The 14,803-nt window shown below is 44.3% G+C and overlaps 1 protein-coding gene across 21 annotated transcripts in view; it reads right to left on the bottom strand.

The window, feature by feature from the left end:
• Positions 1-14,803, bottom strand: part of SNX29 (sorting nexin 29) — a 597,554-nt gene that overhangs the window by 372,985 nt on the left and 209,766 nt on the right. For 19 of the 21 annotated variants that reach the window (XR_001752024.3, NM_032167.5, XM_017023874.2 and 16 more), the window contains one exon: positions 1,620-1,702. The exons of the other annotated variants lie outside the window; for them this stretch is intronic. Coding sequence is in view for 18 of the 19 variants with exons in the window: in NM_032167.5 (NP_115543.3) it covers positions 1,620-1,702 (83 nt within the window). In the remaining variant the exon portion in view is untranslated. The remainder of the gene's footprint in view (positions 1-1,619; positions 1,703-14,803) is intronic. 21 annotated transcript variants of the gene reach the window in all.

Genomic DNA, 14,803 nt, shown 5'->3' with positions numbered 1-14,803 from the left:
GATGAGATGTAAAAACTTGGGAGACCAACATATAAATAATTCTGTATAATGAGATGAATTCAGGGCCATAATAGCAATATCTGTATGAAAAGGGCATGAGGCCACAGAGAAAGATGATTAATTCTGCACTGATAACTCCAGAATGACCACAGTTACTGACCCAAATATGAATAAAGCAAGGCATGTTATCAAATAGCATCACCAATAAGCTGATCCTGATCAAACAGTAACCAAAAGAAATATACAAGCTTCAAAAACATTCACATCTTTATACTATTACTAAATAAGCCATAGCCAGATTCTAATCCTGTCTCCATCACACAAAAAAACCACCACCATTTATTATATGCCAGGTACCATACTAGAAACTCTGAATTCATTGTTTTGGAAAATCCTCACAATGCTCTCATGACACTGGTGTGATGTCCTGGTACGTATAGTAAAATAATTCAAAGGGGTCAGGTGGTCGTGGGTGAGCATGAATTCAGTGCAGGTTTGGTTGACTCTGAAGACATGTGGGCTGGGAGCGGTGGCTCATGCCTGTAATCCCAGCTCTTTGGGAGGCCGAGGCGGACGGATCACCTGGAGTCAGGAGTTCAAGACAAGACTGGCCAACATGGTGAAATCCCCCATCTCTACTAAAAATACAAAAATTAGCTGGGCATGGTGGCAGATACCTGTAATCCCAGCTATTTGGGAGGCTGAGGCAGGAGAATCGCTTGAACCCAGGAAGCGGAAGTTGCAGTGAGCCAAGATTGTGCCACTGCACTCCATCCTGGGCGGTAGAGTGAGGCTCTGTCTCAAAAAAAAAAAAAGACACGTGAATGTGGGGAACACCCACTGTTTGTTAAAATGTCCACACTCTATGAGCTTGTCTTTAAGGAAATTTTGTTACGGTCTTTTGGCTGAGGGCTGCAAGACACATCAGCCAGAGTTAAATATCCTTTCTTCAGGCTGCCCTGAGAAATATTTTAGGAGATTTTAGAAGCAGCAGATGGCCCCACCTCATTTGGCAAGATCTTCATGACTGTTCTTCTATCTGCTGGAATTTCTGATTAATAATAATAATAATAGCTAAAATTTATTCAGCATTTATTCTATGGTAGGCATTATGCTAAGACGTCTACATGGATTGCCTCATGAGGTAGGTGCTGTCAACCAACCTCATTGTACAGATGAAAAAACTGAGGTGCAAAGAGATTAGAAAACTTAACCAGAGCTGGAATTGGAACCTGATCAGCCTAAGTCCAGCGCTCTGATTCTCTGCCATCTTGCCTTTCTGTTGCTTGCACCCGTGGCCTGCTGTGACTTCATCATACCACAAGGTTCACTGCCATGCAACTGTCTCAAGACTCTGGACATAAAATTCTCTAAGTACACAAACCAATAAGACTGTTGCTAATAGTCTAGCAAGTGAGTCTTACAATACTAGTTATGCATGTTGCAGGGATACGCATCAGGTTTTCCACCTGATTAATTTTCTGGAACGCTGAGCAGCACCATTATTCTAATCCATCCACATATGCACTCGTCACACATTGAGTGTCTATTGCGTGCCACGTACAGGTGTTAATGGAAAAGCCCGGCCCCTCCCAACCCGGGCTCAGGCTCCCCCTCACCTTCAGCTGTTTGACCTTCTCTTTTCAGCATCTGGACAGCTCCTACATATTTCTTCAGTTGGACTTTGAGCACCTCGTTCTCTCTGCAGGTACAAGAATGTTAAAAAAATATATATTTAAAAAGTGACAATGTGGACCCACAGGAGGGGGCAGGGGTGGGTGGTGAATTTGTGTAAAGAAAAGCACAATTTGCATCTTATAAATGTTAATATATTCTCATGGTTTAGATATCATCACGGGAGATGGTTGTGTTACCTTGGGCATGTCTGCAGAGTGCCTTTAAGAACTATTCTTTCATGAGACAGATAAGCACCAATCGGTTCCAGTGTCCACAAATTCAGAACACAGACACAGGCTGTGCTTAGGCTGTTTGGAGCTACCCACCTATCAGGTGCCTATTCAGTGTCAGGAACTCTAGTCTTCTCTCCATTTGCAGAAGCATGTACTGACTACTGTGCATTCACCCTGGGGAATGCTCTTAATACTTTTATCAACTGTGACTTGTACTAAACATTTATTATTTGCCAGGCATCATGTCAAGTGTCTGTATAGAATCTCCTTGAATCCTTCCAAAGCACTAACACAACCCTCATTTTACAGATAAGGAGATTGTGGCATAAAGACAAGCAGTTGGACCAACTCCACATCCACCCCCATGTAAGATTACACTAAGGAACACAGAACCCAGGGTATGACAGGACCCCACCTGCTGAACTCACTCCCCAGGTACACTGGGTGACAACAGAACATGAGGACAAAGGGGGAAAAACTGCCATTTGTTGAGTATTTAGACTTTACATATGTCTCTTTGAACCAAGCATGCATCCACTCATTCATTCATCCATCCGTCATTCAGCGGAAAGATGCTTCATTCAGTAGAAAAATGCACAATAGCCTGCAGTATTCTCCACATTTTACAGGAGAAGAGTTGGACAAATACGGTGTTTGACCAAGGTCGCCAGTAAAACTCACTGGTAAGATCTGAACCCAGGTTTCCCTGCCCCCAAGGCCCACAAGGACTCTTCGCCATCTGCTTTGAGATTCAGACTTGGTTTCTGACCAGCTCTACCAGAGGGAGGTGCCTCTTACACGTTTTCTATTTCTGCCCCACCCCCTACACCTCAGGTCTTGAGTCTAAGTGCCTTTAAATGTGCTAGAATATTTTTTCTTTCCTTGCAACGAGAAGAGCTGAAGACTGGGTTTTTTCTGTGATTATAAAAATAAAAAATGCTCATTGCAAAATACTCCATCAGAACACATTTAAGAAGAAATGCAAAAAACATGGTAAGACCCCAATACCTTGAAATAAACCCTATTAACATTTTTATATCCATCCTATTATTTCTCTAGGTGCACACACACATCCTAATAATTTTAGGGGGATGATACACCCTTCACAATGCTTTAATTTTTGTGTGAATGTCTGAAGGCTTTTTTCCCTTGTTTACTGTTCCACTCAACACTTTCCCATGGTAACCAATGGCAAAAACCTAGTATATACCTTTCAGGCCTTCCTCCATGCTTTGACAATCACTACCAACCCAAAACACTCAGAGTCTCTATGACAGGATAGTATAAATGTTTCTGAGACTGGTCGTCTCACTTAATAATGCACCACAGTAAGCCTCTCACTCAGTCTATTTACGGATGGAAATACCACCCACTACTATAGATACGCCAAACACTGACTTAGTTGAAAAACTTGAGACTGCTCATCCCTGGTGCCGAGCGTCTGTTTTCAATGCAGCTGACTACTTCTCAGCCCACGGCAACAGCACTTTCTTTGTATTTTGCTTCTCTGTGCTGTATTGTGGCAGAAAAAAAAAAAAAGGATCAAACTCAGACACTACCATAGACTCAGGCATCACCTGAGAACTCGACGTTCATCTCCAAAGCTCTGGAGAAAGTAAACCACAAGGGAGTCCCTTAGTTATCCCCTCGTCCTAGACAAAGCCTGTCATGGATGCCTCCACAGGTGTCTGCACTTTCTCCATCTGTGACATGAATCACAAATGTTTGACACAAAATAACAAGTCCTTAAAATGTTTGTGGGAGACAAAATCTTCCCTGATGGGGATTGTACAGCATGTGTTTTTTTGTTTCTTTTGTTTTTGAGATGCAGTCTCACTCTGTCGCCCAGGCTGGAGTGCAGTAGCATGATCTCGGCTCACTGCAACCTCTGCCTCCTGGGTTCAAGCAATTCTCCTGCCTCAGCCTCCCAAGTATCTGGGATTATAGGCGCCCACCACCATGACCGGCTAATTTTTTTATTTTTAGTAGAGATGGGGGTTTCACCATGTTGGCCAGGCTGGTCTTGAACTCCTGACCTTAAGTGATCCGCCCACCTCAGCCTCCCCAAGTGCTGGGATTACAGGTGTGAGCCACCACGCCCAGCCTGTAGAGCATGTTTTCTAGGATTCCTTTAGCCAGAGCCTCATTGCCCAGCCCAGCCTACTCCCAATCTTCACATGTGAATTCAAGTCACATATCTTAAAATCAGGGAAAGAAAGGCAGTTATAGACATTTCTAAACAACAGTTCATGGAAAAACATTTTCCAAGAGGCCGCATGACCAACAGAAGTCATGTCAGTGTTTGGCGGTCAGGTCTCCTCTCATTTGCTGCCAGCCGTCGGGCCGATCCTCAGCTTCCCTGTTCATCTCCAACTCTGTGGCCAGCACTAAAATGTTTCAGATACCTGCTTTTCTTCTAGTTTGAAGAAATCTTTCAATACTGTGTTAAGATTCCACCTAAAAATCACACCTGGCTGGGTGCAGTGGCTCACACCTGGAATCCCAGCACGCTGGGAGGCTGAGGTGGGTGGATCACGTGAGGCCAAGAGTTTGAGATCAGCCTGGCCAACATGGTGAAACCCTGTCTCTACTGAAAATACAAAAATTAGCTGGGCATGGTGGCATGTGCCTGTAATCCCAGCTACTAAAGAGGCTGAGGCAGAAGAATTGCTTGAACCTGGGAGGCGGAGCTTGCAGTGAGCCAAGATCATGCCACTGCACTCCAGCCTCGCAACAGAGTGAGACTCCGTCTCCAAAAAAAAAAAAAAAAGAAAAAAGAAAAAAGAAAAGTAAAAAAAGTGTTGCCAATGTGGACTGTGGCAGAGTTGGACATTTGAGATGTTTGCACCTTCCTTGAAATCCCTCCTTGCTAGCTATGAAGTGGGAAGCAGCACAGTAGCAAGACCCCCTTACAGGTAAAAGCTGTGCCTCATTCCCAGAGATCCATACGTATGTAGTGGGAAATATGCTTTTCAATCTGCAACACATGAACACCTGCCTCTGAGTAGGGCACTTAATATTCGAGGTGTGGCAGACATGCTCACATTTTATCTACACAGTAACCCTACAAAACAGGTTATTATTGCTGCCATTTTTCTTACTGCCTTCATTTTACACATGAAAAAACTGAAGACCAGGCGTGGTGGCTCATGCTACCCACCTGGGGAGGCTGAGACAGGCCAATTACTTGAGCCCAGGACAACAGCCTGGGCAACATGGTGAAACCCCATCTCTACAAAAAATGCAAAGATTAGCTGGGTGTGGTGGCATGCACCTGTTGTCCCATCTACTTGGGAGGCTGAGGTGGGAGGATCGTTTGAGCCGGGGAGGTGGAGGTTGCAGTGAACAAAGATCCAGCCTGGGTGACAGAGTAAGACCTTGTCTCAAAAAAAAAAAAAAAAAAAAAAGGAAAAGAAACTGAGGCTCAATGAGGCTAATTGAACTATCCAAAAACTCACAACCAGCAAAGGCAGAGCCACAGTTCACTTCAGCCTCTCCATGCCTATGTCCCTCTCCTCTCTGCCACACACTTGGTGTCTCATTAGACCACCAGCAACACATCACGAGGTTGGTTTTACTGTGCCCATTTTACAGATGAGAAATTTGAGGCCCAGAGAGTCTAACACACACTCCAACTTGGGATTTAAACCCATATCCTTTAACTTCAAAGTCTCCTATTACATTATACACGTTTAGCGAATTAAGTGAACAGGGCAACATTGAAAACGTAAGGCCTTGAAAAATTGCGTGAGAAAACGAGCACAGGTCTGCAGAATCTCTTGGGCGGTTAAGACTCCTGCACAGATGTGAACAGGATCCTCCTGACCAGCCAGCTTTGCTAAGAGAGGCTAAGGAACTTTCCTCGAGTTATGGAGCTCAAGCTTCTGCTGCCAACCCCCTTAGGCATCTCATAAATGTAAGCAGTTGGTGACAGGTGAGCTTTAGGAAATATGAATCAACAGCTTCAAGAACTGTAACCTTCTGACCCAGCAAGTCTACTTCTAAGAAACTGTATTTAGAAAAGAAAGAGAAGTCTCAAAACCATATGCATGAGGATGCTTTGAATATAAAAGAAAGAAGCTGGCTGCAAATTAATTGTCTGATAATGTAAGAGTGGGTGGAAAGTTATGGTGCATCCTCCTATAATAGGACGCTATAGGACTGTCAAAGCTATGATAAATATGTATGTTTATCCCCAGGGATGAATATTACGTATATACACACACACACATATATACTCACACTGATATACCATTAACTGAATGCAGCAGAGTACAGAGTGTATTTACTCTAACCCCTTATATCTATTTACATGGATATATTTGCACTGGAAATGTATAGACCACAACGTTAACAGTGCTCATTTCTATATGATAAAATTAATTGGAAATTTTTCTTTAATTTTTCAACAATGCACTTTACTAGAGCACTTTTTAAAATGTATGAAGAGGTTAGAAATACCCCCAGGCCAGATGCAGTGGCTCATGCCTGTAATCCCAGCACTTTGGGAGACCGAGGTGAGTGGATCATCTGAGGTCGGGAGTTCGAGACCAGCTTGGCCAACATGGTGAAACCCCATCTCTACTAAAAATACAAAAATGAGCTGGGCCTGGTGGTGCATGCCTGTAATCCCAGCTGGTCGGGAGGCTGAGACACAAGAATTGCTTGAACCTGGGAGGCGGAGGTTGCACTGAGCCAAGATCACACCACTGCACTCCAGCCTAGGTGACAGAGTCTGCGATTCCTTCTTAAAAAAAAAAAAAAAAAAAACTACCCACCCCCAAATCCTATAGTAACATCACACATAATGATTAAAGGCTGAATATTTTCCTCCAAAGACTGAAAATGAGTCAAGCAATTCTTCCCTCACCACTCCTGTTCAGCACAGTAGATTCTAGCTGGTGAAATAAGGCCCTCCCCACCCAAAAAAACATACAGGTTAGGAAGGAAGGACTAAAACTTTCCCTCTTCACAAGAGACATGACCATCTACAAAGGAAATCCCAAGAACTGACAAAAATGGTCACAGAATAACCGAGTTTTTCAAGGTCACAGAACACAGGGTCAAATGTAAACATCAACTGTATTTCTATACACTAACAATGAACAATGAGAAGGCAAATTACTTTTAAAAAGAATCATTTATAACAGCTCCAAAAGATGAAATACATTCATATAAATCTAACAAAATGTGTCCAGGATCTGCATGCTGAAAACTACAAAATACTAACAAAAGAAATCAAAGAAGAGCTAACTACCTGGAGATACCAGGTTCATGGCTTAGAAGACTCAAAAGAATTAAGATGTCAATTTCCCCAAAATTGATCTATAAATTTAATGAAAGCCCAATCAAAATCCCAGCAGGATTTCTTATAGATATAGACTAGCAGATTGTAACATTCATATGGAAAGACAAAGAAACTAAAATAGCCAAAATCATTTTTGAAAAAGCAGCACAAAGCAGGAAGACTCACATTGCCCAATTTTAGAACTTCCTGTAAAGCTACAGCCCTCAAGCCAATGTCATATGGGCAAAATGACAGACACACACCAACAAGACAGACCAAAGAATCAGGGAATAAACCCATACACACAATCAAGCAATGTGACGAAGGTAGGAAGGCGCTTCTGGAGAAAGGACAATCTTTTCCACACATGATTTTGGAACAACAAGACATTCATATGCAAAAAAAATAAACTTCAACCAATACTCACACCTTATACAAATATTAAGTAAAACTGGACCACAAACAAATGTAATTTAAAACTATAAAAGGTTTAGAAGAAAATGTTGGAGAAAATCATACCTAACCTGAGTTAGACAAAGAAGATTTCTTAGATATAATACTAAAAGCATCGTCCAGAGTAGAAAAAAGAGTTTAACTGGATTTGCTATGTGAAAGACTTTTTCTTTTTTTTTTTTGAAGATGGAGTTTCACTCTTGTTGCCCAGGCTGGAGTGCAGTGGTGCGATCTCGGCTCACTACAACCTTCACCTCCTGGCTTCAAGTGATTCTCCTGCCTCAGATCCCAAGTAGCTGGGATTACCGGCACCCACCACTAGGCCCGGCTAATTGTTTTATTTTCAGTAGGGACGGGGTTTTGCCATGTTGGTCAGGCTGGTATCAAACTCTTGTAATGGAATTACAAACTCCTGTAGTGGAATGTAAGTAATGGAATGCTTACTCATCAATAAAAAGGAATGCACTATTGATACATGCAACAACTTGGATGAAACTCCAAAAACATTATGATAAATGTTTTGGGCGCAGTGGCACATTCCTGTAATTGCAGCACTTAGGAAGGCTGAGGCAGGAGGATCACCTGAGCCTAGAAGTTTGAGACTAGCCTGGGCAATACAGCAAGATCACATCTCTACAAAAAAATTTTTTAGACTGAGCACAGTGGCTTACGCCTGTAATCCCAGCACTTTGGGAGGCCGAGGCAGGTGGATCACCTGAGGTCAGGAGTTCAAGACCAGCCTGGCCAACATGGTGAAACCCTGCCTCTACTAAATATACAAAAATTATCTGGGCATGGTAGCAGGCACCTGTAATCCCAGCTACTTGGGAGCTGAGGCAGGAAAACTGCTTGAACCCGGGAGGCAGAGGTTGCAGTGAGCCGAGATCGTGCCATTGAACTCCAGCCTGGGTGAAAGTGAGACCTTGTCTCAATAAATAAATAAATAAATAAATGAAATAAAATTAATTTAAAAATTAGCTGGACACGGTGACATGTGCCTGTAGTCCCAGCTTCTCCAGAGGCTGAGGCAGGAGGATCACTTGAGCACAGGAGTTGCAGGCTGCAGTGAGCTGTGATCGCACCATTGCACTCCAGCCTGGGCAACAGAGTGAGACTGCAATTCACAAACAAAAAAATAAATTAAAAAGGTGTCAAGCAAGGGAATGCAGACTTGCTATGTGGAAAAAGCAAATGGAATGAGGGGTGGAAACAGAAGAAGCCGGAAGATAGGAGGCCATTACGGTCATCCAGGCAAGAAACGATGGTGGCCAGAACTGAGAGGACCGAAGAGGTAGCCGTGCACATGGAGACAAGTATTCAAATATTCGCCTGTCCAATTCTAGAAAGCCTTGCCAACTCCTTCCCACTCCCAGCCCCAAACAAGCCTGCTGGCTACCCTGCAGATTTCTTTAAAAGCATGGGAACGAAAGCAAATCATTGAGTAGGTGGCAAGTACCTCTCAAACAGCTTCCAACGACTGCAATAATTAATGTTTGTAAGTCAAAGCAATTAGGCCTGCCCCAATGTCAGAGTAAACAACCAGCAACCCCAGACAGCACTACTCAAAGGAAAATTACTCACAACAAAACTAACGAACCTGGTAAGTACATTTGGTAATTCTCAGGCATCAAAACACCACACTAAGATACACCTATGGGAATTATACTTTCCCTAGATGTAAAAAAGCACAGCTCGAGGGGACCTCATGCCTACCGTCCAGCAGGTACTGAGTAGGCATCAACCATAACCACACCCAACTACAAGAAGAAGGTGGCCCAGTGGCAAGGCTATCCAAGACCATGAGGACTCCCCCAGAATAGGCACCAATAAAAGGCAAGAAGGGAGGCATAAATCGCCTGGCTTTGTGGTGTTTGCAGCCACATCCTAAATCTTCAAAGGTCAAGTTCACTGCAAAATAAAACAACCAATGTTGAAAAACCATTTTTCCCTAACTGTACATATTCCTGTTAAGTCTCTTCTGACCCTAACTCCAACCCCGCCACCTTTTCTAAGGCATCAGAACTCCTTTAGCCTGTTGCTGCACTGAGCCCAACATGCATTCTTACACTGCCCTTTACAGAACACTTTTGCCCTCACACCCTCGAGTAATTGTCACCATGACAATGATGCTAGTAGCTACCACCTGTCCAGCACTGAGTGGGGGAGGAGAGAAGGGGAAAGGTGTAAGCAAAGCTTTTTAGACGGCTGCAGGCTGAGATACCTACAGAGGAGGTAAGTCATGTTCCTGGCAAGTGACAAGCTGACAAGTGGCAGAGCTGGGACTCACAAGCAGACAGTGCAACTCCAGAGTGAAAACTGGACCAGTCCTCTACACCAGGGGTCATCCATCACCGTGGCTGTCAGGAACCAAGCCGCACAGCAGGAGGTGATGGAGCGGTGAGTGAGCGGTGAGCAAGCATTACCACCTGAACTCTCTCTCCTGTCAGATCAGCAGCAGCCTTAGATTCTCATAGGAGCACGAACCCTATTGTGAACTGGGCATGCAAGATCTAGGTTGCACACTCCCTATAAAAATCTAATGTCTGAGGATCTGAGATGGAACGGTTTTATCCCAAAACCATTCCACCAACCCATCCCCATGGAAAAATTGTCTTCCACGCAACCAGTCCCTGGTGCCAAAAAAGTTGGGGACCGCTGCTCTACACCATCTTTGTGAAACAATCAATCCTAAGAGGTCTGAAGGAATAAACCCAGCCAGCCAGCGCCTCTGGCACTGAGGTCATCAGGGCAAGAGGGAAAGCAAAAGATACCTTCCAGAGCACTTTCCCCCAGCGTCATCTTGGAAAGGCTCCTCCCGGGTTCTACCCAGGCTGCTGCCCCGCTACCCAATACACCATGCTCTCTAAGCTAGACCCGACCCCCTCCCCTCCTCTTGCAGCTGTCAGGGCTCCCAGAGCAGCTGAGACATCCACCTAATACAGCCTCAGACCTCCACTCTGGGATTTGGCCAATCACAGCTCTTCCCTGTTGCCCATACCAGCCAAGCTCTTTCTGCCCCATGTGTCTTTGCTAAGGTTGATCTGATTCTCTGTCTGCAACTCTCCCATCTGCCCCAGGCCCCTGGTGAACAGCTACACATTTTGCAAGTGTCTCCTCAAAGGCCCTCTTCTCTCTGAAGTCCTTCCTGCCAACCCTGCCTCCACCACATGGGGCTTGTGACAGCTCCCTCCTCTGCCCCCAGCGTATTCTAGACAAGCTTCTCTCTTAACAAGTCTCATACTTTAATACCCCTGGCCTGTGCTCATCTTCCCCTATCTAGAGTATGAGATCCTTGAAGACAGTGGCCATGTCTTATTTTTCTCTGTACCATGAAATATTGCCCTCATCCATAAGGAAATGGAGTCTCGGTGTGGTCAGTGACCGGCCAAGGTCAATCAGGAGTGGAAGTGGAACTGACATCAGGGCAACTCCAAAGCCTCTACCCTCCAGCACTAGGCCAGGGTCCTTCCAGATGTGGTCAGAGGATGGAGGATCTCTATAATGAAGAGAGCAGAGGAGCTTCTCCAGAAAGCAAATCTCCCCATAACCCTGACTTTCTATTCCCAAGCAATTCAGCCCAAAGCTATCAGAGATTAGTTAACTTACAAGGGGATGGATCAATAACTGAATATATTACTGATAACTGGAGCCAGGTATCTTGTTATTGGAGAAGAGAATAACAAATACGTCAAGAAAGTGAGAAGTCAATGGTGATGTTGGACTGGGATTAAAGACATCAATGTGAACTTACAGGCCCACTTTAAAAGGACACAGAAGCCAGCTCATAAAAGTTCCCACTGATAAATGGGATGGATGGGACGGATTCAGCTTATAATCCATTATTATCACTGTTTTGATGCTCGGACGCTCTGAGACGATCCGGGCATCAAAACAGTGATAGTAATGCATTATAAGCTGAATAAAATAGAAACTGAACAATCCAAAATTAATTAATGGAAAATTTAATGCATAATAGGGTATTTCGAGCTCAAAAACCTCCCTACAAAATATGTATTAATTGTAAAGGGGAAACTCCACAGTGAAGGAGCATAACAGACATCATTTTAATCAGAGGATCAAAGTTAACATCAGGAATGGAACAAATTGAAGCCATGCACCACCTGCCAGGATGCACTAAAAAGATGCATCGCCTCTGCAACATTCCTACGAAGATGCATAAACCGAATCTAATCAAAAGGAAACATCAAGCAAACCAAAGGCACGGACATTCTGCACAATAAACTGGCCTATCATCTTCAAAAACGTCAAGGTCATGAAAGTCAAGAAAAGAGACAACTGTTCTAGCCCGAACAGACATGAAAATCACATGCCATGTGTCATTCCGGACTCAACCATTTTGCAAGAAAAGACATTGCTGGGACTACTGGTTAAAGTTGAGCATAATGTGAAGATTAGACAGCAGAAATGTGTCAATGTTAATTTTCTAATTCTGATTGTTATATTGTTATTACAAAGGAGAATGTTTTGCTTGTAGGAAACACATTAACAGACTCAGGGGTGAAAAATTAAAAAGTAAAAAGCAGATTCCCAGGCCCTCTCTGTAATCACCCTCTTGGGGTGAAGCCTGGAATCTGTATTTTGGCAAGCCTCCAGGACACTTCTGGGCCACTCTGGCACCTGGGAGCCACTCCCTGCCATGTGCCCTCCTGCCATATCACAATCATAACGATTATTGCTCATAACCCTGTTCAGAAAACAGTGGTACCTCCCACGTACAAGAAGTCTGGGTAACTTTTCCTTTCCTTCCAGTTTTCTCTAATAAGACAGGGCAAGGGCTGCTGCCAGGGGACTCAAATTCCAGGATGTCTGCATTCCTCCTTGGCTGTTCTCTGGATTAAGCTGTGTGGCATCTCATTTCTGCCAGCTGGAGGGGGTGGAAAATGGAGCTGTAAAAAGCTTGTTTGATTTTTAGTGCTCTCTCCCCCGTAACCATCCTTGCACTATTTATTTTATAAAGCCCATCTCATTAGCCACCTGGTAAATCCCACTCAGAATGGCACACTGGCCCCTGTATTGCATATCCAGAGCCAGAGAAACAGCCCAAACAACTCGTCACTCAAGAAGGTAATTAATTACAGATGACACACACCCAAAATATCCTGGGTGCAATGGGAAAATCACAGGGTTCCAAACTTAACAGCCGGAATCATACTTGTCAGTCCCTCACTCAAAACTTACATAAGCTACTCCTCTGGCACCAAGAAGGCAGCTCATTTCAGCACTTTGTGCCATTAAAAAGTGTTTGCTTTCAGGTCAGACAGCCCTGACGGGAATGCTTGCTCTACCTCTGTATGACCTTGGGCAAGTTGCTTAACCTCTCTGAGCCCCAGTTTAGCATTTATAAAATGGGATGATGAAAGTATCTACCTTCAGAAACTACAGACAGAATTAAAATAAGTATGTGTGTGTATAAATAAAGTGTCTGGCATATGGTAATTATTAAATAAATGTTAGCGGTTAGTAATTCATTGTCATCATCATTATTACTCATAAATTGCAAACCAGGGCTCCAGTGTCATCATATTCCAAATCAAGGAGGACTATTTTCTCCTAGGGAGTGAGGACTAGGGAAACACTTGGAATAATGCTCAAATTATCACCTGGACATATTTCAAGGTCAGGCATCAAACGACTGAGTCCTCTTCCCCAGCTCATCCCCTAGCTAACTCCTAGGGCATGGTGGATTCAACCTCACCACTTCAGAAAATGATTATCCGATTTCCCTCAGCTGCATCAGGTCCCTCGAGGGATGCAGGATTTCCCTAAATAATGGGAAGGTGAGGGAGCCTCTCATGGACTCAACTGGGCTTCCATGGAAGCCAGTGTGGAATACCCTAATGTACCAATGTGACAACTCACCTTTTGGAGGAGTGAATGCCAACAGTACCACTGCATGAAGAGGTACATAAACACAAGTCTGGCAACCCAAATAAACACCTTCAAAAAAAGGGGGTTGGGGGGAGAACAGGCAAGAGAAACTACTATGAAATAGAAAATTGTTTCCCGACAGGCCCCAAGAAGACTACAGAGCAGCAGATGGAGAGAACACAACTGGGAGCCTATCCTGGATTTTTTTTTTTTTTTTAAACAGAGTCTCACTCTGTCACCCAGGCTGGAGTGCAGTGGCATGATCTCGGCTCACAGCAACCTCCGCCTCCTGGGTTCAAGCAATTCTCCTGCCTCAGCCTCCCAAGTAGCTGGGATTACAGGCGTGCACACCCGGCTAATTTTGTACTTTTAGTAGAGACAGGGTTTTGCCCCGCTGGCCAGACTGAAACTCCTGGCCTCACACGATCTACCCGCCTTGGCCTCCCAAAGTGCTGGGATTCCAGGAGTGGGCCACCGCGCCCAGCTCTATAACATATCTTTCAGAGTCCCAGGCATAGAGGGGCAGTGCAGGTAACAGAAGAATGAAGCATGCCCAGGGGACATGCACAGGGGCATCTTGTGAATGGTGGAGGCCACAGCAAAGTAGAGAATGTGTGCCCATTGTCCAGGACTCAAAACCAGGCAGACAGGAATATGGCCCTGTGTGGCCAGATCTTCCAACTCTTCAAGAGCAGGTGGAAGTCCGGATTCCTCCGGGACCCATCAGGTCTTTAACCAGTGATTGACTCATTTTTCAAACATCTCAAGTGCCAAACAAAACACAGCTGTGAGCCACAGTCAGCCCCGGCCACTGAGTGCTACATCTCTCTTGACTTTGACCTCTTGGCATTGAGTTTTGCCATCTGTGAGACCAGAAGTCTACTTGCTATAGTGTCTCTTTATTAGGCCAAAAGGAGATGGATTAAAAGCCTTGAGTTCCTGTCAAAAACACATAACCTGAACCTAATCATGAGGAAACAGCTGACAAACCCAAATTGAGGGATGTTCTATCAAGCAACTGGCCAGAAGAGGGACCCAGAAAAAAAAGTCAAGGTCATGAAAGACAAAGAAGCTGTGGAGGTGTTCCCCAGATTAAAGAGACAGGACCCTTCAGTGCAATGCCTGATCCTGGACTGGATCCCAACTCAGTCAGAGAGATTAGCCATGAAAGGTTAAATTGGCCCCATTGGTGAAATATGAATATAGCCTAAATATCACGTCATAATACTGCACCAGTGTTACATTTCCTGCATTTTATCATCAC

The sequence above is a fragment of the Homo sapiens genome, chromosome 16 (assembly GCF_000001405.40).
Source record: "Homo sapiens chromosome 16, GRCh38.p14 Primary Assembly".
Lineage (NCBI taxonomy): Eukaryota > Metazoa > Chordata > Mammalia > Primates > Hominidae > Homo > Homo sapiens.
The sequence above is the reverse complement of the archived record's forward strand: the minus strand, read 5'-3'. Positions and strand labels throughout refer to the sequence as shown.